The sequence below is a fragment of the Homo sapiens genome, chromosome 4 (genome assembly GCF_000001405.40).
Source record: "Homo sapiens chromosome 4, GRCh38.p14 Primary Assembly".
Lineage (NCBI taxonomy): Eukaryota > Metazoa > Chordata > Mammalia > Primates > Hominidae > Homo > Homo sapiens.
The window spans coordinates 93786544-93811222 of NC_000004.12; the positions used below are offsets into that span (position 1 = coordinate 93786544).

The 24679-nt window shown below is 37.6% G+C and overlaps 1 protein-coding gene across 3 annotated transcripts in view, besides 1 other annotated feature; it reads left to right on the plus strand.

The window, feature by feature from the left end:
* The window catches only part of GRID2 (glutamate ionotropic receptor delta type subunit 2), a 1506491-nt gene extending 1482578 nt beyond the window's left edge, over positions 1-23913 (plus strand). For all 3 annotated transcript variants that reach the window (NM_001440459.1, XM_017008120.3, XM_047450132.1), the window contains one exon: positions 20172-23913. In NM_001440459.1, coding sequence (NP_001427388.1) covers positions 20172-20330 — 159 coding nt within the window. In that variant the 3' untranslated portion in view covers positions 20331-23913. The remainder of the gene's footprint in view (positions 1-20171) is intronic.
* Positions 5167-5226: a silencer, noted in NCBI's record as "silent region_15573". NCBI's record gives its function as "represses an Ori minimal core promoter by ATAC-STARR-seq in GM12878 lymphoblastoid cells {active_cell/tissue: GM12878}" and the evidence as "EXISTENCE:reporter gene assay evidence [ECO:0000049][PMID:35858748]".

The following is a 24679-nucleotide window of genomic DNA, read 5'->3' on the forward strand; positions in this document are numbered from 1 at the left end:
CTGCATGAAAGGCAAAAGTATGGATGTGAATGCAAATAAATTTCTAGGTTCAATTGCCTGATGTTTAGTGAGAATTATGTTGGATTCTATTTTCTACAAGATGGAGGAAGCAAATCACTGGTGAGAGTGAGAGGTCAGAAATTTAAGAAGAATAAAGAATAGAAAAGCTATCTAGAGCAACATGGCAGAACTGATGTACAGCTTTGAGGGCTCAGCTGAGGTTAGAGGTCATTACATTATTTTGGCCTGATCTGTACAGTTGCACATTTTTTTCAAATATCCTCAGCAGCTTCTAGTTAGCCAAGGGCAGACAGACTTGGATTTAACAGAGAGTTGTAGAGTAAGCAGTAAAATGACTACTCAAAGTGGTACTAAACAAAAGTCAATTTTAACGGGGTGTCCCAATGGTGTATGAAGTATAGTGAGAGGCCATTTTGATTAGAGTGTGAAAACTGTGCTTCATCTCATCCCCACAAATCTCAGTGGCTTGATCTAATAGATTCAGAACCCAGGTTCCTTCTATCTAGTTGCTCTGTTATTCCCTAGGACTTTGGAGTCCTCCACTGGGTCTTCTGCATCCAGTTGGCAGATGAGGTAAAGAGAGAACATGGAGGATTGTGGGAGTTTTAATGAACCTGACCCGGAAGTAGTGCACATCACTTCTGCACACATCCATTGGTTGTCACATGGCCACATCAAAACAGTTTTGTTAAGCATCTGACTTGACTACCATAGAGGCATAGAGTCAAGTTAGCAGGCTTTGTAATAATCTAAGCATGAAGAAATACAGGCTGAATAAGGCCAATAGTAGTAGAAATGAAATAAAAAGCACATTGGGAGAAAATCAACAGATTTGGTGATTGCTTAGATCAAGGATAATAAGCAAGGTTCTGTCTAAAGCACAGCATTAAAAAGAATTATGAGATCAAAATTCAGGATATGAGGTCCACTCTAACCACCCTGTTTAAAGTTGAGATCCTTTCCCCTAACATCCCCCATTTACCCTTACATGGCTCCGTTATCTTTCATAGCACAGGACACCTTCTACCATACTATATAATTTACCTACTGGTCATTGTCTTTCTCCTTCCACCATAATGAAAGAAAATTGAGGGGAGGAGTTTCGCAGTCTTGTTTATTACTCTTTCTTCAGTGCTTAAGACAGTGTCTGGTATATGAGGGTCATTGAATTACTGCTTGTTGAATTATTGAATGGAACGATTGATTAACAATGACCATTATGGTGCGGTCAAGTTCAAGTGGAAATACATTCATGTATTTACTAATTACTGGCTTAGCTATAGAAAGGAAAAGAAGACTCTGACATCATAACAGAGATTCAAGGTAGGATGTCTGGACGAATAGACTCAGGGAAAATATTTTGTATGTGGAGTGAAAAATGGTATTTGACTTTGGAAACATCATAATTGAGATGAAGGTAAAATATCCAGGTGGACATACTAAGCAAGACATTGACAATGTAACGCCTAAGGCTGGGCGCGGTGGCTCACGTCTGTAATCCCAGCACTTTAGGAGGCCGAGGCGGGTGGATCACCTGAGGTCAGGAGTTCAAGACCAGCCTGCTCAACATGGCGAAACCCCGTCTCTACTAAAAATACAAAATATTAGCCAGGCATGGTGGCAGGCACCTGTAATCCCAGCTACTCGGGAGGCTGAGACAGGAGAATAGCTTGAACCCGGGAGGCGGAGGTTGCAGTGAGCCGAGATCACACCATTGCACTCCAGCCAGGGTGACAGAGCGAGACTCCGCTCAAAAAAAAAAGAAAAGAAAACGTAAAGCCTAGGTTTTGGCAAAACATTGAGAATTGGAGTCTCAGGATAAGCAGATAATAAGAGTTTCAGTTCTCAACACATACATACAAAAAAGATAAGTATGAATATCTTAATTAGCTTAATCTAATAATTTCACAATGTGAGTATATATATACACACACATATGTACATATATATATATAAACATGACATTGTATACCATATGCATATGTGTAATGCAATTTTTGTAAATTACACCTTAACAAAACTGGAAGAAAAAAGATAACAAAAATCTCAGGTTAACAAGATGGGAAGTTATTCAATGGGCAATATAATGTTGAGTAACCAAATTATATGATCTAAAGGACGTTCAAGGGTAATTAATCTAAGGGTCTCCTATGCGGTAGAATAACTATCACAACTTAACCTGTCAAAAAATATTTCCATAAGGAATATCTTTATTGCAGCACTTCATCAATATCACTGCACCTACATGAAGTGTACCACATACACAGCAGAAAACCAACTTTTGTTTTCTGTTGGTTCTTCTGTTGAAAAATGATCACATTTAAGCCCTCTTGTGGTGGCTCTGCATAGAAACAGTCCTACCTCTTGAGGAGTCCTGAAGCAAACTACTCCTTGACAACACAATGGAACAACAAATCATTTTTTTATTATCCTGTATCTGTGTCTTTAAGGAACAGAGAAATAATCTCTTTTCTCCTCACAATCTCTCTTTTCTTCATATCCATCCCAGCTGCAAAGTGATAGCTAAAACACATGAATAATAGTAATACTGGTGAAAATCAGAGTCAACAAATACAAAAGCTTAGATAAATGACCTAAACACAGTGATATTATGTGTTTTATAATTCACATTTTCATCAGATAGCCATATAAATTATTTTAATTGCTATATTAAACATTTGAATTGCACCTAAATTAGCAATTGTGAAATTTAAAAGGAATAGAAATAAGTAGAACTGTTATAAATGTCATATCTTGTCTAAAAATACTTAGAAATATTGAAGACAATGTCTGAGCTCCACATCAGTTACTAATTAGGTGTTTTTGTTTAAGTAAAGCAATTGTTAATGTCCCAGTGACAACTTCAATTCATAGAATACTTGTTATTACCTAATATGCCAAATGGTAACTTAGCCAGTGACTCCAGCATAATCTTGGTCAAAATCAATTTTCCAATCCAGCATACAGCACAAAAAAGTACATTCTTCTAATATTTTTGGTGCCACACTTTTCCTTTTTATTCCCCATAAAGCATTTGACCCAACTTACAGTAAAACTTCCAAATGGCCTCATATTTTTCTATTCTCATCAGAATAATATGGGACATATCAAACATTTTTCAATTTTGAAAGAAAATTCAAGATCAGTTTATGAGTAGTTTCGGAGGCTAGTTGTTACATAAGATTTAAATATTCACATACTCCCTAAAATTGATAGAGTATAAATTTAAGAAATATATGAACCTCTAGAGCAGGAGTCCCCAATCCCCGGGCCATGGGCCAGTACCAATCCATGGCCTGTTAGGAACTGGGCTGCACAGCAAGAAGTGAATGGGGGTAAGTGAGCACTGCCTGAGCTCCGCCTTTTGTCAGATCAGCATTAGATTCTCATAGGAGTGTGACCCTATTGTGAACTGCACATGTGAGGGATCTAGGTTGGGCACTCCTTAGGAGAATCTCATGTCTGATGATCTGAGGTGGAACAGTTTCATCCCAAAACCATCCCCCTCCCCCCACTTCACCTCCTCCCACCCCATCTGTCACCCCCACCCCACCCCTACCCCGTGCCCATCCGTGGAGGAAAAATTGTCTTCCACAAAACCTGTCCCTGGTGCCAAAAAGCCTGGGGACCACTGCCCTAGAGAGAATTTCAGAAAATTCCAAGCATTCTAACAGATGCAATAAAAAAACTGAAGAGTTTCTCTGTACATAGCCAAAATATAAACATTTTTCTTAATAACTTTTTAGGACACGTTACAATAAAATGAGCATGACTAATTCAATATATCTACAATGATTACTTAGAATCTAAAATAGAAAATAGCGTAAAATAAAAGCAGTCTTGGACTTACAAAAAGTTCATTTCCAGAAGTTCACTTCCAAGTCATTTATTTTAAACACATAATGCATTATTCCAAAGGAAGGGAAAAGGTATACCTAATGGTTGCTTCTTTAGGTTAGCCCTCAAAAAATGTTATTTAACTATAATTTTTTTTTTTTTGTGAGACAGAGTCTTGCTCTGTCGCCAGGCTGCAGTGCAGTGGCATGATCTTAACTATAAAATTATTGAAATATTTAAAATAACATTTTTAAAAACTAATCTTTTGACAAACATGTTCATGTAAAAAGAGAAAACATAATAATATGAAAGAACATACAATGTTAAATGTTTTTAGAAGATCCTGAGAGAACAAAGTTAGTGGCAGCCCAAAGAAATTAGAGTCTAAAAGCCAGGGTTCACATCTGCCATTTGTCAGCTGTGCTACCCTAGGCAAGTTACTGAACGTCTCTGTGTTTCATTTTCCTCTCCCACAAAACAGAAGTAATAATAGAACGTTTCTCATCATATCTGAAAGGATTTAATGCTTTAATAGACGTAAAACACTTAGCACAGTTCTTTGTTCACAGTAGGCTCAAAATAGTGTTCTACCGTTATTATTCTGTACAAATTTCTGTTTAATATAATGCAAGTGGTAATTAAAGATTGATGCTGCAAGAGTGTAAAATACAATAAAAGCTAACATTTTACCTTCCAATCCAGTTCTAAAAGATCTTTCTTAGAGAGATGTACAAATGAAAACATATGTGTTAGTCACCCTGTTATTTAGCAATTTTGTGCAATCTTGTAAACCTGCAATATAAAATAAAAAAAAACCTTTAAGACATTCAGATTTTGGAAGTATACATTGTATTCCACTGCATTTAAAAGCAGACTTTTAAATATGCACCACCTCGTGTCAGGGCCAAAATTGTTCTGATTATGTATTGGAATATGTTTTGATCTTAAATATGTCTAGAACTTTAAGAACTTAAGGAAACTTCAGCAACATTATAAAAAGGTCATATCCAAGGCAAGTTGAAAATTAGTAAGGCAGGTCTATTTAGAGAAGCTCTACCAAACCACCACTAAAATTACAAACTCTTCAGACTAAAAACGGTCTTTATATTTGTTGTCCAAAAAAAAAGGAAAGACTAACTTTAAGGAGATTTTCATTTTTAAAGGTTTTATCCACTAAAAATGTGTTTGTTTTTCAAATTAAAATAGAAACAGAAAAAGAAATAGAGGCAGTTCCTTGCACCCTGAATGTTAGCCAAAGTGGTGACAATTACAGAGTCACACTGAGAGTCCCCTTCTTGTTTCTCCAAATGCTCACCAGGAAAGAAAACACGGGCCTCCTCCTCTAGTACAGACTGACTCCCTGCTGTCTTTTGTAGAGCCAGATGGTGGCGCTGTGGTATCATTTGTTGAGAGTTTAGCTTTAAATTCTGTTTTCTGTGAGCAAACAGCATTGTGTGAAAAGTCTCAGCCCTCTTTTGAAAAATAAAGTATTTTAAATAGACTTTATTCTTCCCTTTAACGATGAATAAGCCCATCATTTAAGCCCTTTAGGTTGTTTTAATGTTTACTATTTGTAAAAGAATGTATCTGAAACTTGTAAATATAGATGATTTACAGTGTACTTTCAAAAGGGTTGAGTGTAGATGGTGGTATTTTGTGTCTGTTGTTTTCTTAGTTCATAAAAATAAAAATGAAAAGAAATGGAAATATTTTGTCCATATTATTTTCATATATTCATAATTTCTAAATAAAGTCTTATGACACCTCCAAGCCCCAACCTGCTGCCCAAATCATCAGAAAACAAAGACTTTTGTCAGCAAAAGTTAACTCAATTCTAATCCCACTTCCCTCTCTAACCCTTTCACCAATTTTGGTGAGAATGCCTGTTCCTACTGAAAGTGGTGCTATGAGGCTAGTTTGGCAACATACACATCTGTACCTTTAATTCTCCCCCACACCTAGCCCTCTCTTATGTGCTCTGTTCATCTCACTAAGCCACTTTCTTCTTGGAAGGCTGGGTTTTACCTGACCTACACCCGCAAAATGAAAACTGAAAACTGAGTTAGGCCAATGCAAAATTATGAATTGACCATTTTCTTCCTCACCTACATTAGGCCAATTTTGCATTGGCCTAACTCAGTTTTGCTTCTCCTTCACCTTTGGCTGACCCAGAACAAAAATCATGCTGGGAACCCTACCACACCCCTTTCACCCCACTTTTAATTCTGAATAAAGTGAATGTCAGGATAACACAAATCAATGCAACTATTGGAACATCAGGTCCAAATAGACATATGGCAGGTGAAAAATGAAGTCCAAGAAAGAGAACACATCAGAAAGAGGCCATGTGCAATTTTAGAGTCTATACAACAAGGGCATTTGTGATCCATGGTGAAACCTCAGTCTCACCCGGGTTGTTCTGATTGATGATGGAGGGGAGGAGAGGACGATTCATGGTGGTTTGTGAGTGCCAGCTGGAGGTCCCACCTATTCCTTTACCCACTGCCACATCCACTGCTCCAGGTAGGACGTCAGGTTCCACAGATTTTTCCCACCTCTTCTAGTTAAACTGTGAAACAATGTACATGCAGTTTAGCCATAGTCCTTTATAAGTATCTTTTTAACCTATTTTTCAATGGAAACTGTATTGTTTTCTAAATAAAACCTTATGCTCGATCCCACTATGCCAAACAAATTAAAGCAGTATTTGAAATATAAATGTATAACTTAAAATTCATAAAATTTACTTATTAAAAGGCAAGAAATTAGAAAAATGGATGACTGTTTCAGACCAAGGACTAAGCATTCAGTTTATTTTTGGTGTTTCGATGGATCCACATACAAAAGCTGTGTAAGAAAATGTCTATACTACAGAATTTAAAAGAAGCCACACCTAGCAGGCTTTGAAGATGCCCTCCTTCCCTAAGAGATTAAAGAAAAACATCACACTCAGAGTAATTAGATTCTGATAATGAACGTAGAAACATTGATCTATAGCACACTTTAAAGACCATTGTTCTAGAACAATGCCCTGACTTTTGTGCCTAAATCTGTTTTGTTAGGCAACTTCCAATTCCTCCTATGTGTGGAATTGGTCTTAAACGACAGATCATATTTTCCAACTTGGTTCTATGGGAATTTCAACCATCATTGATGCTTGTCTGTAATTTAACATGCATTCTCTCTATATTTCTATTATCCTAGTTCTAATTGTCTTCTGAAATTGTAATATTGAGATACACTCAAAAACAAATGATTTGAGAAAACACCTTCTCAAATTCCATGATGCTACTTAGTACTTTTGTGAACAACACACATAAGTCAAGAAGAATTTTCCTGTGTACAATGAGGGGAAGCTAAGCCTCAAAGCTTCAGAAGCACCAAGGACGTATGCAAACAGAAAATATGATGAACGCTCTCTCTTCTTGGCATGTTTTTCTCATCCAGTTTTCACATCTTAGTGCTCCTCCAGAACCTTTAAAATCAAAAAGGAAAAATGAGATTAAAAAGGGTGAAATGCCAAGAATCTTCCCTCTTTTCAGGGGTCAGTTCTGGGTTATAATCCTAAACTAATGTGGAATTGTCTTAAAAAGATAAAGCCTTTCTTATTTCTCCCATCTGCAGAAAAAAAAAAAGAATATGATTTACCTGATTACTGACTTTCTTTAGGGAATCTGTGAATGAGATGTTAGAGTATAATTTGTTTCCATTGTGAGTGCTTCTTCAAACTATAAAATCAAACTCCTAACAATTCTATCAGGGTGTCCCTAATCTTGAGCATAAATGATAGGTTCCTTTTAGATGGCAGTGATACGTCTGTGGAGTTTTATTTCCAGGGAGACAGGGCAGGATTTGCTGCTATGCAGACTGAATAATGTTTGAAGCCAACATCATGTCACATTTTGTGTGCACTTTCCAAAGATTAATCCAAGCGTTACAAATGGGACACAGACTGCCATTGTCCCAGGGACACTTTAATAACCCACACCTACAATATTCAACCTGTTGTTTGCATAGGGACAACTTTGGGACACAAAAACCCACCAGAACGACTTAGGGAAAGGAGCCGTGGAGAGGCAGAGACCCAGGCGCCACGGCACCTCCACATCTCATCCTTCATGGCCAATGAGTCTGTTTGGAGTTTATTTATGCCCGAGGATGGGGGTCGTGCAGCTTGCTTTCTTCAAAGCGTCTCGGCGAGCCTTTCTCAAATCTGATGCCTGCTAACTCAGTTTCTCACTTCTGTTGCACTTTGGCAGGGTTTGCCAACTTGCAGATAATTTTTGTTTTGTTTTGCATAATGCAGCTTAAATTAAGGAACATTATTCCCCTCAGAAATAAACTGTGCTTAACCAGTTTCTTCTTCCATTTTTCTCCCCACTCCCCTTCTCTCCTCACAATTCCTTGCATCTGTTGTTCTACTAGGATATTCTTCATGAATGGAAGACTCAGGAGAAAGCTTCAGGATGAAAAGATTGTGAGAGGCAGATGAGAAGAGCTAATAATTTTTACATTCCCCAATGTATCATCTTTAAGTGCTCCCATGAAGTACTTATTACTGTAACCTTATTTACTTTAGAAAACAAACTGTAATGGTCTGGTAAATCAAAATTGATGACTAAGTTTCACATTGAGTTTAAAATATCAATAACCTACTTTTTCACATAAGAAGATATTTTAGCATAAAGACAAAAAACTAAGAGATACAATGAGCAGAATCATAGTTATGATATATTTAATCTCAGATATAATATTTTGAACAGTAGCACAAAAATAATTTCTTTTCATAATACATTATTACTATAGTATATAGTAGTGTGACTATAACAGGTAGAAAAAATTCAAAACCAACAGAAATCTTTAAAGGAAAATACTTTCGGAAATCACAATAAGGCAAAAAGACTTATAGAAGCATCATGAAGAAAAAGACTATGTAAGTGTGTATTATATATATGTTATATATTATTTTAAAAAGGAATCATATACCTTTACTTAATTTCCACCTTAATGACAGATTTCCATTAAGTGAAAAATTACAAGAGAAAGAATCAATAAACAGAAAGGCAGTAGTGTATATTTTGCTAAAGAACATGGTCCTTCAATTTAAACTTAAGCTTGGTACTTTTTAAAATAAGTATAAATAAATTTATTGAAATACAACATTTCAAATTTACCTTTATTGCTTGGTATAATTTTTTAGTTAAAATTATTGTATTTCTTTAATAGATTATTTTATTACCACTCTTGTAAACAGGTGAGCAAGTATAGGATTCTTCCTAACTTCTGTAAATGTTATTAATCCCAAATTACGGGATTAATCCCAACGTTATTTACACAGGAATATGTGTATAATGCTACAGGTCTTAAATGCAATTATATTATCAGCAGTGGTTCATGTGAAAACCAAAGGTAGATTGTTTTGACTTTCTAAGCTTAGTATGAGGCAGTAAATGTACTGCAGCTAGTTGGGGAAAGCATTGAGGAGCGTGTGGAAGAATCCAAGTTTCTTCTCTACTCAGCAACCCACAAGGCTTAAGGCAAGGTGTTGGCTGAGCCGCCTTTCTGGAGCCCGGAGTTCTCTTCCAAGTTCACATGGTTGCTGGAAGAATTCAGTTCCTTGCACTGACAGGACAGAGGCCCCTATTCTCTTACTGGCTATTGACCTGAGGCCCACTCAGCTCTTAAGGTTGCCCACAGCTCCCCAGGTGGCCATTTCCAGATGCCCTCCCAGGCTTTAAATGTCTTTGACTTCTGGAAGGGCCCAGTCCCTTTGAAGGGACTATTTGATTAGGTCAGACCCACCACCATCATCTAGCTTCTGATTAACTCAAAGTTGACTGATTAGTGACCTAATCAAAGATTGATACTCCACTAGAGTCACAAGTCTTCCCTACACGCAAAGAAGGAGGATTATATAAAACTCATATAGCACAGGGGGAATTTTGAAAGCCATCTTAGAATTCTGCCTACCACAGAAGCTAATTCCAGATAGTGAAATGGTTGCAAAGGAAATGAAGTTGGAGACAAGCAGAGGGGAATCTATGTAGAGTGGTCAGAAAAGGAGTCTCTGGAGCAGTAATACTTGATCTGAGATTACAGGGCACAGAAGGAACCAGTCATGGAAATGTACTTCTTTTGTTTGTTTGTTTGTTTGTTTTTTGAGACGGAGTCTTGCTCTGTCGCCCAGGCTAGAGTGCCGTGGCGCTATCTCGGCTCACTGCAACCTCCACCTCCCGAGTTCAGGTGATTCTCCTGCCTCAGCCTCCCAAGTAACTGGGATTACGGGCATGTGCCACCACACCTGGATATTTTTTATTAATATTATTTTTAGTAGAGATGGGTTTCACCATGTTGGCCAGGCTGGTCTCAAACTGCTGACCTCAAGTGATCTACCTGCCTTGGCCTCCCAGAGTGCTGGGATCAAGTAAGCCACTGCACCCAGCCAGTCATGGGAACGTACTTGTAAAGAGTGTTAAGCTATCCAATTTAATGTACAGTCATGCATCATTTAACAATGGGGTACGTTCTCAGAAATATATTGTTAGGTCATTTCACAGTTTTGTAAACATCATAGGGTGTACTTACCCAAACCTAGATGGTATAGCCTACTACACACCTACGATGTGAGGTATAGCCGATTGCTCTAGGCTACAAACCCTACAGCATGTTACTGATTGAATGTTGACAAAATGGCAAGTATTTGTGAATCTAAACATAGAAAAGGCTCAGCAAAAATGTGGTATTATAATCTTACAGGACCACCATTGTATATGCGGTCCATCATTGACCAAAATGTCATTATGTGAAACATGGCTGTATTACTGTAATAGTGTTAAAATTCCACTTACATGTCAAAATAGATGCTATTTTTTGAGGTTTTATAAGGAAATTCCTATTTCTAATACATGTTTTTGAATAAAACTTCTTTTTCTAGAAGCTCAAATGAGTTCCTGCAGTACAGAGAACCTGCGATGTGCTTGAGCTTCTAACTGTAAGCTAACTTTCTAGAGGTTCTGCAGAAAAATGTGTCTGAATAGCTATTAATGGAGAGATGCTGAAGTGATTTGCCCTTGGAAAGATACAGAGGAAGGTGCCTGCAAATTTACAATTATAATTTCATCATGATGGTGGCTGGTGTCAGAACCACTCACGCATTTACTCAAAAAGCATTTGTGGTAGGATAATTTTAAAATATCAATTTGTGTTCTACTTCAGCATTTTTCCCTCCTTTCCTCCCCTCCTCCAAGCTCAGAGTCAAGGCCCTGTGTGTCTCTTTGCCTGGGAGACTTTGCAGAGGGGAAAGCAGACTCATCAGCTACTTTTCCTGTCTTTGGTAAAAACTTAATCAGAGAGAGAATGTTAGCTCTGGAGAGGCAGACATACCAGAGACTTATTCGAAAGATATTAAGAGAGAAGAAGGAGAAAAGTTTTCCCCAGGATGAAAAAAAAAAAAAAAAAAAGAGGAGCAAGGCCAGGTGTGGTGGCTCACACCTGTAATCCCAGTACTTTGGGAGGCCGAGCCAGGTGGATCACCTGAGGTCAGGAGTTCCAGACCAGCCTGACCAACATGTCAAAACCCCGTCTCTACTAAAAATACAAAAATTAGCCAGGCATGGTGGCATGCACCTGTACTCCCAGCTACTTGGGAGGCTGAGGCAGGAGAATTGCTTGAACTTGAGAGGCAGATGTTGCAGTGAGCCGAGATCGCACCATCGCAATCCAGCCTGGGCGACAGGAGTGAAATTCCTTCTCAAGAAGAAAAAAAATAAAAAATAAAAAGAGGAGCAGGAGTCAATGGGTTGTGGAGATTGTGCTGTCAATAAAAGGGAAACTTGTAAATGTCACAGGAGCTCAGAGGGGAGGGGAGGCTCTGTGGTGTAGGATCACAGTCTTTCCAAATAATCTTATTTCCAAAACATGATCAGAAATAGCAAAGCCATTAGACCTGAAGAGACTCTCCCTTCAGCCTAGGACAATAAGCATCTTACTAGATAACAAGTGTGGACCCATGTCCTTAGGGGCCGCCTAGACAAGATGACTGTGTTTAGGAACCCAGGATCTTGGCACAAACCTGGTTGGAGGGAAAGGTGAATGAAAACCTTGGGAATGACTATGATCGGATTCCCCAAGTCATGTTTAAATCCACATAAGTGAGTAGGGCATGCATTTATGCACATCATATTAAATACATATGTACCAGGTGCATCCAGAAACTGCTTAAAAAATCTGTCCTTTTAAATTCATATCTAAGAAGCAGAAGTGCTCTTATGTGTTATTGACAACACAGAATAAACTTTACTAGTTTAAGTGATTTAAAGCAGTTCTATGCTTTAGAGATTTCAGTCTTTCTCTACCTTTCCAATGCCTCTCCCCACCCTCAGAATGGATCATGGTGTGGCTGAAAGAGAACTGGACCAGGAGGCCAGAGCCCTGGGTTTGTTATGTGGCAACCATTGGTTGAGTGCTCTTATTATGCAGCACGCTAGGCTTACAAAGATACATAACACCAGTTCCTGTCTTGTACATTCCAAGAATGGAGAAAAACAATACAGAGAAAAAAGCAGGGGGTAGGCAATATGGCAGAGTGGTTACTCACTGAGGCTCAGAGAACAGGAGCTCCGATCTCAGCTCTTCCACTGCTTAGCGGTCTGATCTTGGGCAAACCATTTAAAGACCCTCAACCTCAGTTACTTCACATGTTAAATAGCTTCTACAGTTAATAGGATCTATTAATAATTTATGCCTCAGTATTATTGTGGCTAGAAATCGTATTTATAAAAGTTTACTATAAGTAAGTCATTGCAATGCACTGTTAAGTACCATGGGTATTGTATTTATTTATGTGACTCTAAATTGATTCTTTCAGCAGTCAACACATCTTTACTGAGGGCCTACTATGTTCCTAGATTTGAGTGACAAATATTAAAAACTCTCCAAGACTGCTTCTTTTGTAAAATGAGAGATTTGGAATAGATACTCCCTAAAGTCCCTAAAACTTGGTCATATGCTCAAGGGGAAACTACAGAACTGCAGCCCCTTTTTTTTTTTTAACAAAAATCTTTAGATTATATCTACATAGGCATATTTGAGGGGAGGGAATCAAAAGAAAAGAACAGAAAATGTTAAATTGAGCCAAGTGACTACTGATTTTTAAAATAAATAGAAATAAAAATTTTGGAAGCTAGCTAATAACTAAAATTTGAATAATTACATTATTGAACAATTCCAGTCAGTGAAATAGAGACTATGTGGTTATCTGGTATATTTAATCAGTAAAGATAATCAATTAGTATGATTTAGCTAGATGTGATATCTCAAGTATATCCTTTGTTTCTTTATGTAATTAAAAGTTTAATTCAAAATCCAATTGAATTCACTCAACTAATTTCTAATCAAATTGCTATGTTTTGTTTTTGTTTAAAAAGAAACATATTTGAATTAATTCATAGGTGTCTGTTTTCCTTACTGAGTTCTATAAATATGACTACAATAATTCTCAGTGAGACACTAAGGAAATCTTATTTTATTCATGAATCAAATAAATGAAAACATCGCTAGGTCTAGAATGCATCAAAACATTTAAAAGACTGAACTTCTCTTAAATGTTGCATATTTTTAAAAATGAAAGCTCCTATGTTTCCTGGGCTTGGATTAATATGTAGAGTAGGAGTTGGTCTAATACCTAACCTACCAAATTCCTATGTAATGTTATAGGTTGACGATAACGCCTCACAGGAAAGAGGTAGGAAACAATGGTAACCATAGCAAGGGAAGTTTTCTAGCACAAGTAAAATATATGATATGACAATCAGCACGATGTAGTGTGATAGCAGCAATCCTGTGTAAACGAGGAGATTCTGTGCATTGCTTCTTCAGAACTGTGGCTTTCACTGACATTTACAAATGAGGATGGGAAAATGATATGACCCTTTCTGGGCAGCCACTGCCATAAAGCTGAAAAGTGTTGCAATGTCTGACACGTATCTTATCAAGTTTGGATCGAACAATTTGGAAACACCCAATTTCTAGAGATGTAAGTAGCATTGAGGAAACAAACAGGATTAGTTTATGTTGCATCAGAGAGACAGAAATACTTCTTTTCTACTCATGTATTTGTATTGTATTAAAGATTTGGTTCTTATTTAAATAAAAAGGCCCCCATTAAATGTCCCAGATAGCATTTTAATGGGTATCATGAATCCTTAACTTTCACTGTTATCAAAAAGTTTTTATGTTTTTCTTAGATACTTGCATGGGTAGTTATAAATAGTAACCTGGATACATATAGAAGAAATTTAAGAGACATTATAGTGATGAAAGTTATTTTATAATTATTCCCAGTTTGTTAAATAATTACTACTACTGTTAAAATATGTATTTAGCCAATATTTGAATAATTGAATCAATTTTCTTTCTTTTAAATTGTAGATATAGACACCAACGTTAAAAGGAATTCTGGCAATTAGCTGGCTTATTTGCACCTAGGCATAAAATATGCTGGAAAACACTGAATGAATTCAATCTTACTGCTAATTATTTTCCTAGCAGTTAATAGGTAATGTCATTAGCACAAAAACGTAATTAGTGCTCAATACAACTAATAAACTGAATCAAATTTAATTGAAAATAATCGTTTGTTGGTCAAATTTCTATTTTTTCCCAGATCTATTATTTAGCTAGTAACAAATTATTTTTTCAGTAAGCTTGGTAATATACCTGCATGAGAGTGAACTCAATTGTTTATATGAAAGTAAGCAATTAATCTAATTTATATAGATTGATTTTCCCAACCAATTAAACAAACCAGATAATTACCAAATTTCTAGTTAAGTTTCCCTTTTCAGTTTAGTTTTTAAAATAAAAGGTGTATTTTAGAGACCTGAGCAAAAGTTAAATTTAACTATTATTTAAAATTGAGTTTAATTTGAAAGTTTTAAGGTGAATAAGTTTGTGTATGTGTAAACAAACTGCACTGTTTTTTCTTATTTTCTTTTTTTATTTTCAGTTCCAAGTTCTAATTCAATGACATAGTCCTGAAAGATTTGTCACATAAAGTATGATATGTGAGTAAACAGAGACTTCTAAATAAAATATAACACTATTTTATTAAATATTTTTAATTTACACAAATGGATTTACTGATATTGGGTATAAAATAATTAACTCCTCCTTCTATGTAGACTTTCTATTAATAATGTAAATAGCGCCTTCTAACAGTAGTTTTACAATACTTACAACAGCATTTCTTTCAACTTCATAAAAAAGTAAATAGTTAAAGCACTGCACTTTCTCACATTTTTAATGGAAAGTAATGAGAAATAAAATAGCTAAACACCATGCGTTATTGAAAATCTCAGATATGTTGATGTCATACTAACAGTAAAACAGAAACAACTTCACTAATAATTATGGGGGAAATTTGGTTAAACTAATCAATATAAAAATGCATACAGACACATCTCAGGTTAAATTACTATAAGGGGTTCAACCCACGTTAAAAATCTTACCCAGTCCCTACTCTGCAATTAAATGATATAGCATATATCCCTTTAAAATCCTGTATGTAGAATATACTGCATGTGTGCCCCCTCCTACATATTTTGGTGTTTTGAGGGAGACAGAGAATCCAGCATCCAGGCCTGGAGCTTTCTGTCTATTGTACAGTAGCTGTTTCAGACCTGTATGCTTATGTTTCCGATTCCTGGGAAGTTCTTTCTGCCGCAGGGCGTGCCCTGAAACACATCAAAAGAACCAAGTTCTACAAAAGAAAAAAGAAACTCAAGTAGGCTTGAACATACAAAGAGAGGGAGAAAGAGATGAGAAAGGGGCCAGGCAAAGTGTTGAATACAAAATGAGTTCAGGCAACCCCAGGAGCTCTTCATCACTTACATTTATCTTATTCTGTGAGGGGAGCGTCAAAACCAGCCCTGACATAAACCACCCACTGCCATTGACTTTGACTCTATGTGTGAGAGTGAGTGTGTGTGTGTGTGAGTGTGTGTGTGTGACAGAGAGAGAGAAAGAGAGAGAGAGATGTATTGAACATAAAAAGGAGCAGATTTCATGAGGTGTTACTAGTACCTCACAAGAATTAAAAAAGAAAACATTTTACAACACCAATGACCAAAGTCCCAAGAAAATAAATTTAGTATGGTTTTTGTGTAACTCCTCTATAGTGTTTACATCAGAATCTTCGAATTGTGCATTGCTTTAACATCTTTACTGCCGTATCTATATTGCACCTTCTGTACTTGTTATCATAAAGCATGTAAGATTTTTAATTTCTACTTGCAATATTTTGTGCATGTTTTATATTTCAGGGCAAAAACCCATAGTCAACATCTCTGCAACAAGATAAATTCTCTATGATAAATTTAAAAAAACCATAATTAAGGGTCAAGGATCCAAATAACTGAAGGAATAATGGAAATGTTTTCTAAATCTATGCTAATTCCATCTTTGAAAGTAAGACCCCCAAATTCTGACCCTGTGTCCTGTTTAAAAGTGTAATGCAGTTGATAAACCCCTTGTGCAAAAGATCGTAAGCGCATTTAGGTGACTGTGTCAGGTTTTCTTAGCAGACTAAGCCAAGCTCTGCTCCAATGGCCTTGTTTGAACATAGAAAGTGTTTCAGTTGGCCAGCAGTCTGGAATGAAAGGTAGAATCCTCACATCCTATGTACATGCAGTGGAATTTTGTAGCCTGAAGGAACTACAGTGATCTTTAAATTCATTTACAGGGTTTTCCTCTGTTTTGATTTTCTTCCATTTTCTTAAGCAAATAAAAGAATTAAAATTTTCAAGTAATTTACAATTTGGGGGCAATCACACTCAACTCTGATACTGTGACATGTCAGTAATTATCAGAATAAAATTATATCATTTCAATATCATTTATATAAGCAACTATCCCAAAAACCTGTCTTGAGAGAAAGAGAGAAAAAAGTAGAATTGATAAAGAAAAATTAAGCACGAGTACCAATTCTGAATGTTGCGAGTCATGGTCCAAGTTTTTTCTCCCTTCAAAACCACACCTTTTTTGGCCGGGTGCGGTGGCTCGCACCTGTAATCCCAGCACTTTGGGAGGCCAAGATGGGCGGATCACAAGGTCAGGAGTTCGAGACCAACCTGGCCAACATAGTGAAACCGTGTCTCTACTAAAAATACAAAAATTAGCCGGGCATGGTGGCACGCACCTGTAGTCCTAGCCACTCGGGAGGCTGAGGCAGAAGAATCGCTTGAACCCAGGAGATGGAGGCTGCAGCAAGCCGAGATTGCCCCAACGCACACCAGCCCGGGCAACAGTGTGAGACTTCGTCTCAAAAAAAAAAACAAAAAACACCTTTTTCAAATATACTACACAAATTTATCATATGATTTTATGTGGTTCCTTTTTTAAAATTGCTTACCTTTTTCTGATTAGCATTTATGCCACTGCAAAGTGTGAATGCAACAATTGAAAAAGCAGACAAAAGACTTTCCTAAAGATTAAAAACAAAAATGTAAAAAACTACAACCATCATCACACTGCATCCAATTGCCAGGTGTGTGGCGCTTCCTGGCTGCACAGTTCCTATATCTTCAATGTTAGGGAGAAAAGGAAAAAAAGCACAGCATACCATTCATGTGACCCTCAGAATCCCAAGGGTCCTTCACTTTGCAGGTTTTACAAGCCAGCCTGAAGGTCAGTGTCATCTACCATGATGCCCCTGAATGTCAAGGTGTTCCTTAGGATCTAAAACTAGGATGTAAAAATAAATTAAAAATTGTCCCCACCATCCATGAGACTATCACAGACAACAGACAATTAAACAACTCATTATAATATACCAGGTAAGAACTCTAATAGTAGTCATGTGTTGCTTAACCATGGAGATCCATTCAGGAAAAATGAGTCATTAGGTGATTTTTGTCAAAATGTGAACATCACAGAGTGAGTATCCTCACCTAAACCTAGATGGTTTAGCCTACTACACGCCTAGGTTATATAATATAACCTATTGCTCTGAGGCTACCAACCGGTACAGCACGCCGCTGTACAGAATACCGCAGGCAATTGTAACACAATGGTAAGTATTTGCATATCTACACATGTCTAAACATAGGAAAGGTACAGTAAAAATATGGTGTTAAAATATTATGACACCATTATTATATATGCAGTCTGTCATTAACCAAGACATCCTTATGCATCATGTGACTATATGGGACAAATAAAAGAGATCCATACTCTGTAACATTCTGTTCTTGGGTAAGAAGTCCTTAAGAAATATTAGAATTTAATGATTCTAATACAGCAGAAGAGTTGTTTGCTGCACAACTTTTTGTTCTTTGAAGTCACAGGGCCCCTCAAGTAAAAATGCCCTCAACCTTTCAAAAGCCTAGCCATCCCATAAAACCAGTCCTACCTCCTCCATGATTTCTTCTTTTATTATTCTAAAACTTTATCTTCCTCTCTGCAACTACTATATCTATTAGTCTTCATTGTTTAACTTAGTACTTGGTTATGTGGAATCTTTAGGTGGTTGATATTGTTTTATGTAATATGGTAGATGTATCTCCCAACCAGATTATGAGCCTATCCAGGGCAGACTTTATGTTGTATACCAGTGCATTTTCTATTTTCCAAAGTACCTAGCTTAATTTAACACAATTACAGTAATAGATAATTAGTAATAGCTTAATTTATTTTTTGGTGAAGAAATGTGTAAATTTTGCAAATGAGTATTTCTTCACACTGCATGCTAGTCTAAAATTCCCTAAATGTTTCTTTATGTAGCACCAGTTCTAAAGATGCTAATAAACATGACTCAAAAACTTAACTTCATGTTGAAATGTTAGGGACGTATTGATTTAAACATAGTTAAATAAATTATTTTGTACTGGACTTCTCAAAATCTTTAAAACTTGTATAATTAAATCTTCAAGAGAGGTAGATAAAATGCAGTGTTTCCCAAGTGTGCCTAATGAGAAAACTGTTTTTGAAATTAGTGTTCACAGACCTTACTATGGGAATTCTGGTGTCTTCCAAGGTCTTTAGAGCTGATTTCTACACTTAGTTCAGTCAAATTACTTGCTGAAATAACTGGTTGGTTGATTCAATTTATCTGGTAAGTGCTATCAATCCACTAACACAATTAGAAACACTCAGTCTTCTCTAAATCCTGTAACATTAGCAAAGATTTTGATAAACATGAAACCTAGGTACAAGCTCTCCTAACAAGGACATAGAGGTAAGGATCACACTGATCCCTTCTGATGCAGGCCTAAGTTAAGATTCACAGTTTGTGTCCACATTCAGGGTTCCTGCTGTTGATTTACAGTTTTTGATTCTGTTATTTAATGGCTGAAATATGCCATCTACTCCTCAGGTTTCAAGAAAAAGGGAAGTTTCTTATTTAAGAGCATATATTCGGCCGAGTGTGGTGGCTCACGCCTGTTATCCCAGCATTTTGGGAAGCCGAGGCAAGTGGATCACCTGAGGTCTAGAGTTTGAGACTAGCTTGACCAATATGGTAAAACCCCATCTTTACTAAAAATACAAAAATTAGCCGGGTGTGGTGGCATGTGCCTGTGGTCCCAGCTACTCGGGAAGCTGAGACATAAGAATTGCTTGAATCCCAGAGGTGGAGGTTGCAGTGAGCTGAGATAACGCCACAGCACTCCCGCCTGGGCAAGAAAGCAAGACTCCAGAAAAATAAAAAAATAAACAAAAAAAAGCGTATATTCATATGGGTAGGCTAAAATGTGTTTGACAAAATCAAATTTGATTTGTGATTATAAACATAGTACAATTTATATATTTATTATTAATTGTTAGTGTTTTTAAGTTTATGCATGGTCTGGAACCAATAACTAAAAGTCAAGATGTAAGATTCAAGATCTAAGCAAACAGGCTCCAGGATTTCATGTGTGACTGTATATCGACACCAACTTTGGTAGAACTCTCTGTTGACTCTCCATGTGAGAGCGATACTGCCTTTATTTTCTGGTGAAGATATTGAAGTCCTTATCCACTCTAAACTACCAAAGTATCCTAATCCAGACCTGGATGAACTCCAAAGCCCTCCTTGAAACAGGTTCTATTGAACCAGCAGCCAATATGCTCTGGTTTTTGACAGTTGCCTGGAGTCTAGAAAACCTGTGAAGCCCTACATGGGAGGGAGGTATGCATCATCAATCATCATGCTCCACTTTGTTTACGATGGACATTTAAGGTGGAGCCAATGCCTTATAAGTAGTGATAGGACCATGGAAAGCCAAACTTTGTCTAAAATCAACCTTGATGTGACCTTATGCTTTATTTCCCCACAGGCTTCATCCCTGCAGAATGAAACTACAATATCTGAAAGAAGGAATGCTTGGCCATTAAGGCCATGTTTGAAACTTGGCAGCAATACCTGGAGAAGCCAGGCATCCAGTCATAGCCTGCACCAATCATCACAAATGGGAGGACCCCTGGATGACCCATAACCTCTACCAGCACAAGAACTGCTGATCTGTTTTCCACCTTATTGATTTCAGGACCCATTAGATCCTGTATTCAAAACTGGTGAGCTAATGTATTATCTCCTAAATTAAAAACTCCTATCCAGTTCAAGGAAGCTGACCTCACCAGATTGTGACACACAGAAATCCTTGCTGTAATCCACTCATAGAAGAGTAACGACAGGACTGCTGCTTTCAGCCACAGGTCATGGATCTTGCCTGCGCCAGCCCATTAGCCTTAGAAGGATGCTTCTATGCAGTGGACTTCTTGCCTAGATGTCCTGGTCAAGAGCACTCACACTGAGGTCCAAGTCTATACCACAGTAGCTTTGTCCTCAGCTTCTATCTGTGCACGATTTTAAACTCTGGGTCTTAGGACTTCTCATAGCCAGAGATCTAGGGAGACATGAAGGACCAAGGAGAATGGCAGAACTTAACCAGAAAAAGACAGACGGCTCTTCTAATGCTTATTGAATCACTGGTAACTGTGGTTAAACATCTTTGGAGGTTTTATCACAGAATTCTCTCCATATTTCTAGAACAACATTATTTCATACTTACCAAAATTGGCTACTTTCCTCCACACCAAGGGACATTACCTTTTTCCCCAATGGCCATCAAATGTCTACATTTTGCATGGATTCCTGGCTAATGTAGAGCCTCCAGTTTGAATCCACACTTAGTACATGTGTCATTGTAAACAAAGATCACTTGGATCTTAGGATTACACCCTGGAATTGCAGTGCCTGTATATACTACCCAGCGCTAAGATAAGTTTGTTTTCCTTATACCCACTTCCACATTCATTTATAATACCTCTTCAATGCAAAATGTATTTTACAAGTAAAATAGGGAAGCATCATATGAAATATCCCAGCCCCTCATGAACTCAATCAGTTTTTATTGAGGACCACTATGTGCCAAGCACTGTATTACATTTTGGGAATACAATGATGAATGAGTCAGAATCCTTTCCCTAAGAAGTTTGCATTCCAGTGGGGAATCCAGATGATTAAACAGCATGAAGAGTGCTAGAACAGGCTAACAATGGCCATAAGTATTCCCTCATCTCTGTTCCTTAAGCACCCAGGGAGCTCCCAGTTGCCCAAGCTGATGCACAGATGATCTATTATGCCAAAGCAACCTAAAAGATTAAAGCCAACAAGCAGCAGTCCAGGAGGAGCCTCTACAAGTAGTGATCCCATGGGTTCTTTTACTAATATATTATTTCTAAATAATCTGACTTTCAAACAAGTTAGGTGTTCACTTACTGAGCACCTTCTTCATTATGTCATCAAACTGATAACCCTCAAGTTGTAGCTGCTCACAGGTGAAAATCAGGCTATAAAGTCAAAAGACAGAGCTTCAAGTTTGGGTCTTGGTGCTTACCATGACTGTGGGCAAATCACCTACTTTCTGGTCTTTGGTGTCATTCTTTGCAAAATAAAAGTAAAAACATTATATACTGTACCTACCTCACAGGGTTGTTGTGAGAATCAAGTGAAAAGTATGTGAAAGAACTTTGTAAACTTTGTTATTTTTAATCACCCCATTTCCATGGGTTCTTCATCTTCTCTACGTAATACAATACTATAATTCACCTGAAGGATGTACTCTTACCCACTCTGTTCCTACCTCTCACCCTTACACAAGTGAATTGTACAAAGAAGATGAAGTACATGCCTTCCTGGATATCTAGTTTCAGATGGAAATTCTGATACCTCACAGAATGACAAAGAAGTAGTCCGGAGGACCAAAACCGGGGCTCTACTGCCATAGAGACATTCCACCATTAACATACCACTGGACCTGGATATCAGCCAGCCCTCTTGATGGACAGTTGTCCACAGAGAACCCATTCTTGGCCCCAGAGAACTACTGCAGTGGTTCAGGGAATCATCTGGGTTCTTTCTGGCTGCCAGGGGAGTCACCAGCCATTCCAGGAAAGCGCATGCTTCCGAAAATAAAGCAAGAAGATTGGTTAAAGGAGACACTGACCCCATTAAACAAAATACAAGCCTTCCCTGACTGCCTGACCTGTGATAATTGGGCTGCCAAGGGAGATACCTAGACACTTATTTAAAGCAAGGATTTGGTGACACATTTCTTCATTTAGCAGTTTATCCCTGATGCCAACCTGACTCTTACTTCTCTGATTTTTGATTTGTCGACTCCCTGTCTGTCTAACAGACCTATGATAAGATGTGTTTCTGGCTTTAAAATCCCATATGCTCCCCTTACATACACACAAACACACAAACATCCACACAATGAGGAATGCCAGCATTTTTCCTATCTATCTTACCCACTTGACCAAGCTTAGCCTGGCCTTCCATTTCTGATTATTTCATATGGATTCTGATTGGCTGATCCAATTTGAGTTCAGTCTCACTGGACCAGTCGTAATGTATTCCAGGCTGAAACTCTGACTCCCTTTCAGTCCTGTGTAGAAGCTTAGAGTGCCCATGAAGCCACGATACCGATACCCAGCAATCCTTTAAACAAAGGGAGGTCTTTCAACTTAGAATACACATGCTTATCCAAAACTAAGGCCGTATTAGCATGTATCTCCAGGAATAACATAAAGTTTCTATAAAAGTTCTCCTGAGCGAATAGAATGGTGACTATGTACAAAAGATCTGATAGAATTGGCATCCAAGAAACTTTGTAATAAGGTCTTAAGCCTAAAATAGAAAATTTCAACTACAATTCATTCTTCAGCTTCCTAGAGCAAGGAAGGCAGATCACAGGGAAAAATCGATTCATTGTTTATATCAGTTTCCAAAATATTTTCAAATGGAATGGAAAATAATTCACAATTTCCTTCTTGCTATAAGTCAGAATGGCTGACTTCACACACCAATTCAGTGAACTAAGAAATTCCAAGACTTTTTCCTATGGCTATAATATTAAAAGTTAATTTTAATACCTAAAAAACATTAGCAATTAAAAACAGTGTCTTATATTGTAGTTTACAACCACCACTTGCTGTGGGAAGGGAGCCAGAGAGACTCAGAGTACCCGCCACCCAAGGTCAAAGGCACTGAGCCAAAGGATCCAGCAAAGAGCAGGCCCAAGCCAGGAAGAAAAGCTGTTGCTGAAATGTCAGACCAAGCATATGAAACAAGATGATCTCCAGGTCATGGTAGCTGAGAAAGGAGAATAGACAGATCCAAGCTGGGAACCAAATTAAGATGTTGGAACAGGTACCAGAGTGAATAAGACTGGGCAGGGGATGGAGTCACCTACGGCCACACGTTTGTCGTACAGTAGCCTTTCTTGTAAGTTGCGATACTACATCCTAGTTTCTTTTTCAGAAATAAAATCCTTGGTATTACTGATGTAGCTTACATAGCCAGCCCCAAGCAGAAAACTCTTCCTTTCCCACAGACATACTTTTTACTATCTTGGTTGATATAATTTTCTTTTTCAGAGATTTTTAATTTTTTTCATGAATCTTTGATAGATTATTTTATCAATAAAAATTTTGTCAATAAATAATTTTCCTGATTGAACTCCAAGTCCTTCTTTGGTGATTAAAGTTGGTAATAAAAACAAATTACTTTAATTAATAGTTTGTCTGTACTTGCTTTTCCAAGGCGGTATGGAAGGGAGACAATGTTCTAACACAGATAACATATGAGTGAGCTCGAAACAATTATAGTAAAACACCAGCCAGGGGTAGCCAAGGTGACGTTTGATAATGACACACAGTGAACATTTCAAGTTAGCTTCAATCTACAAATTGTACCTCTCTTTCAAAAGTCAGAGGCAATCAACTCTGCCACTGCCGCATCAGAATGCAGAGACTGCCCAGTGAGAGACAGACACTCAGGATGGAAAGGAATAATGCAGGCAGCATTTTGCAGAAAGAGGTATCTGAATGCAGAGACCAGCCACTCCCCATAGCTGGGGAGAGTGCCAGGCTTTTCAGAGAACTCACGTTAGAAGTTTCAGCAGTAGATGGAACTGGGCCAATAGACACAATGGTGGGGAGAGTGGGGAAGTTTCTGTAATTAAAGTCTGAATTCTGCACACTTTCAAACAGACTAAGAGCTCTCTACTATTGACAACAAGGACTTTTTTTTAAGTGATTGTTCTAACTGAACCTGGTAAGACATGAATCACTGTGGAAAATAAAGGAAGTCAGTGGAGTACAGACTTTGGGTTAAGAATGAAGAAAATAATCTGAATGGCACCAGAAGAGACAGTTCCATAAGCTCTATAGCAGGAGAGACTGGAAGTTACTAACAGAGGAATATTGCTGTGTGTCTTTTCCAGTATGCCATATATATAGTTAGGCTTAAACTGACTGCTTGGTAAAGTACAATTGG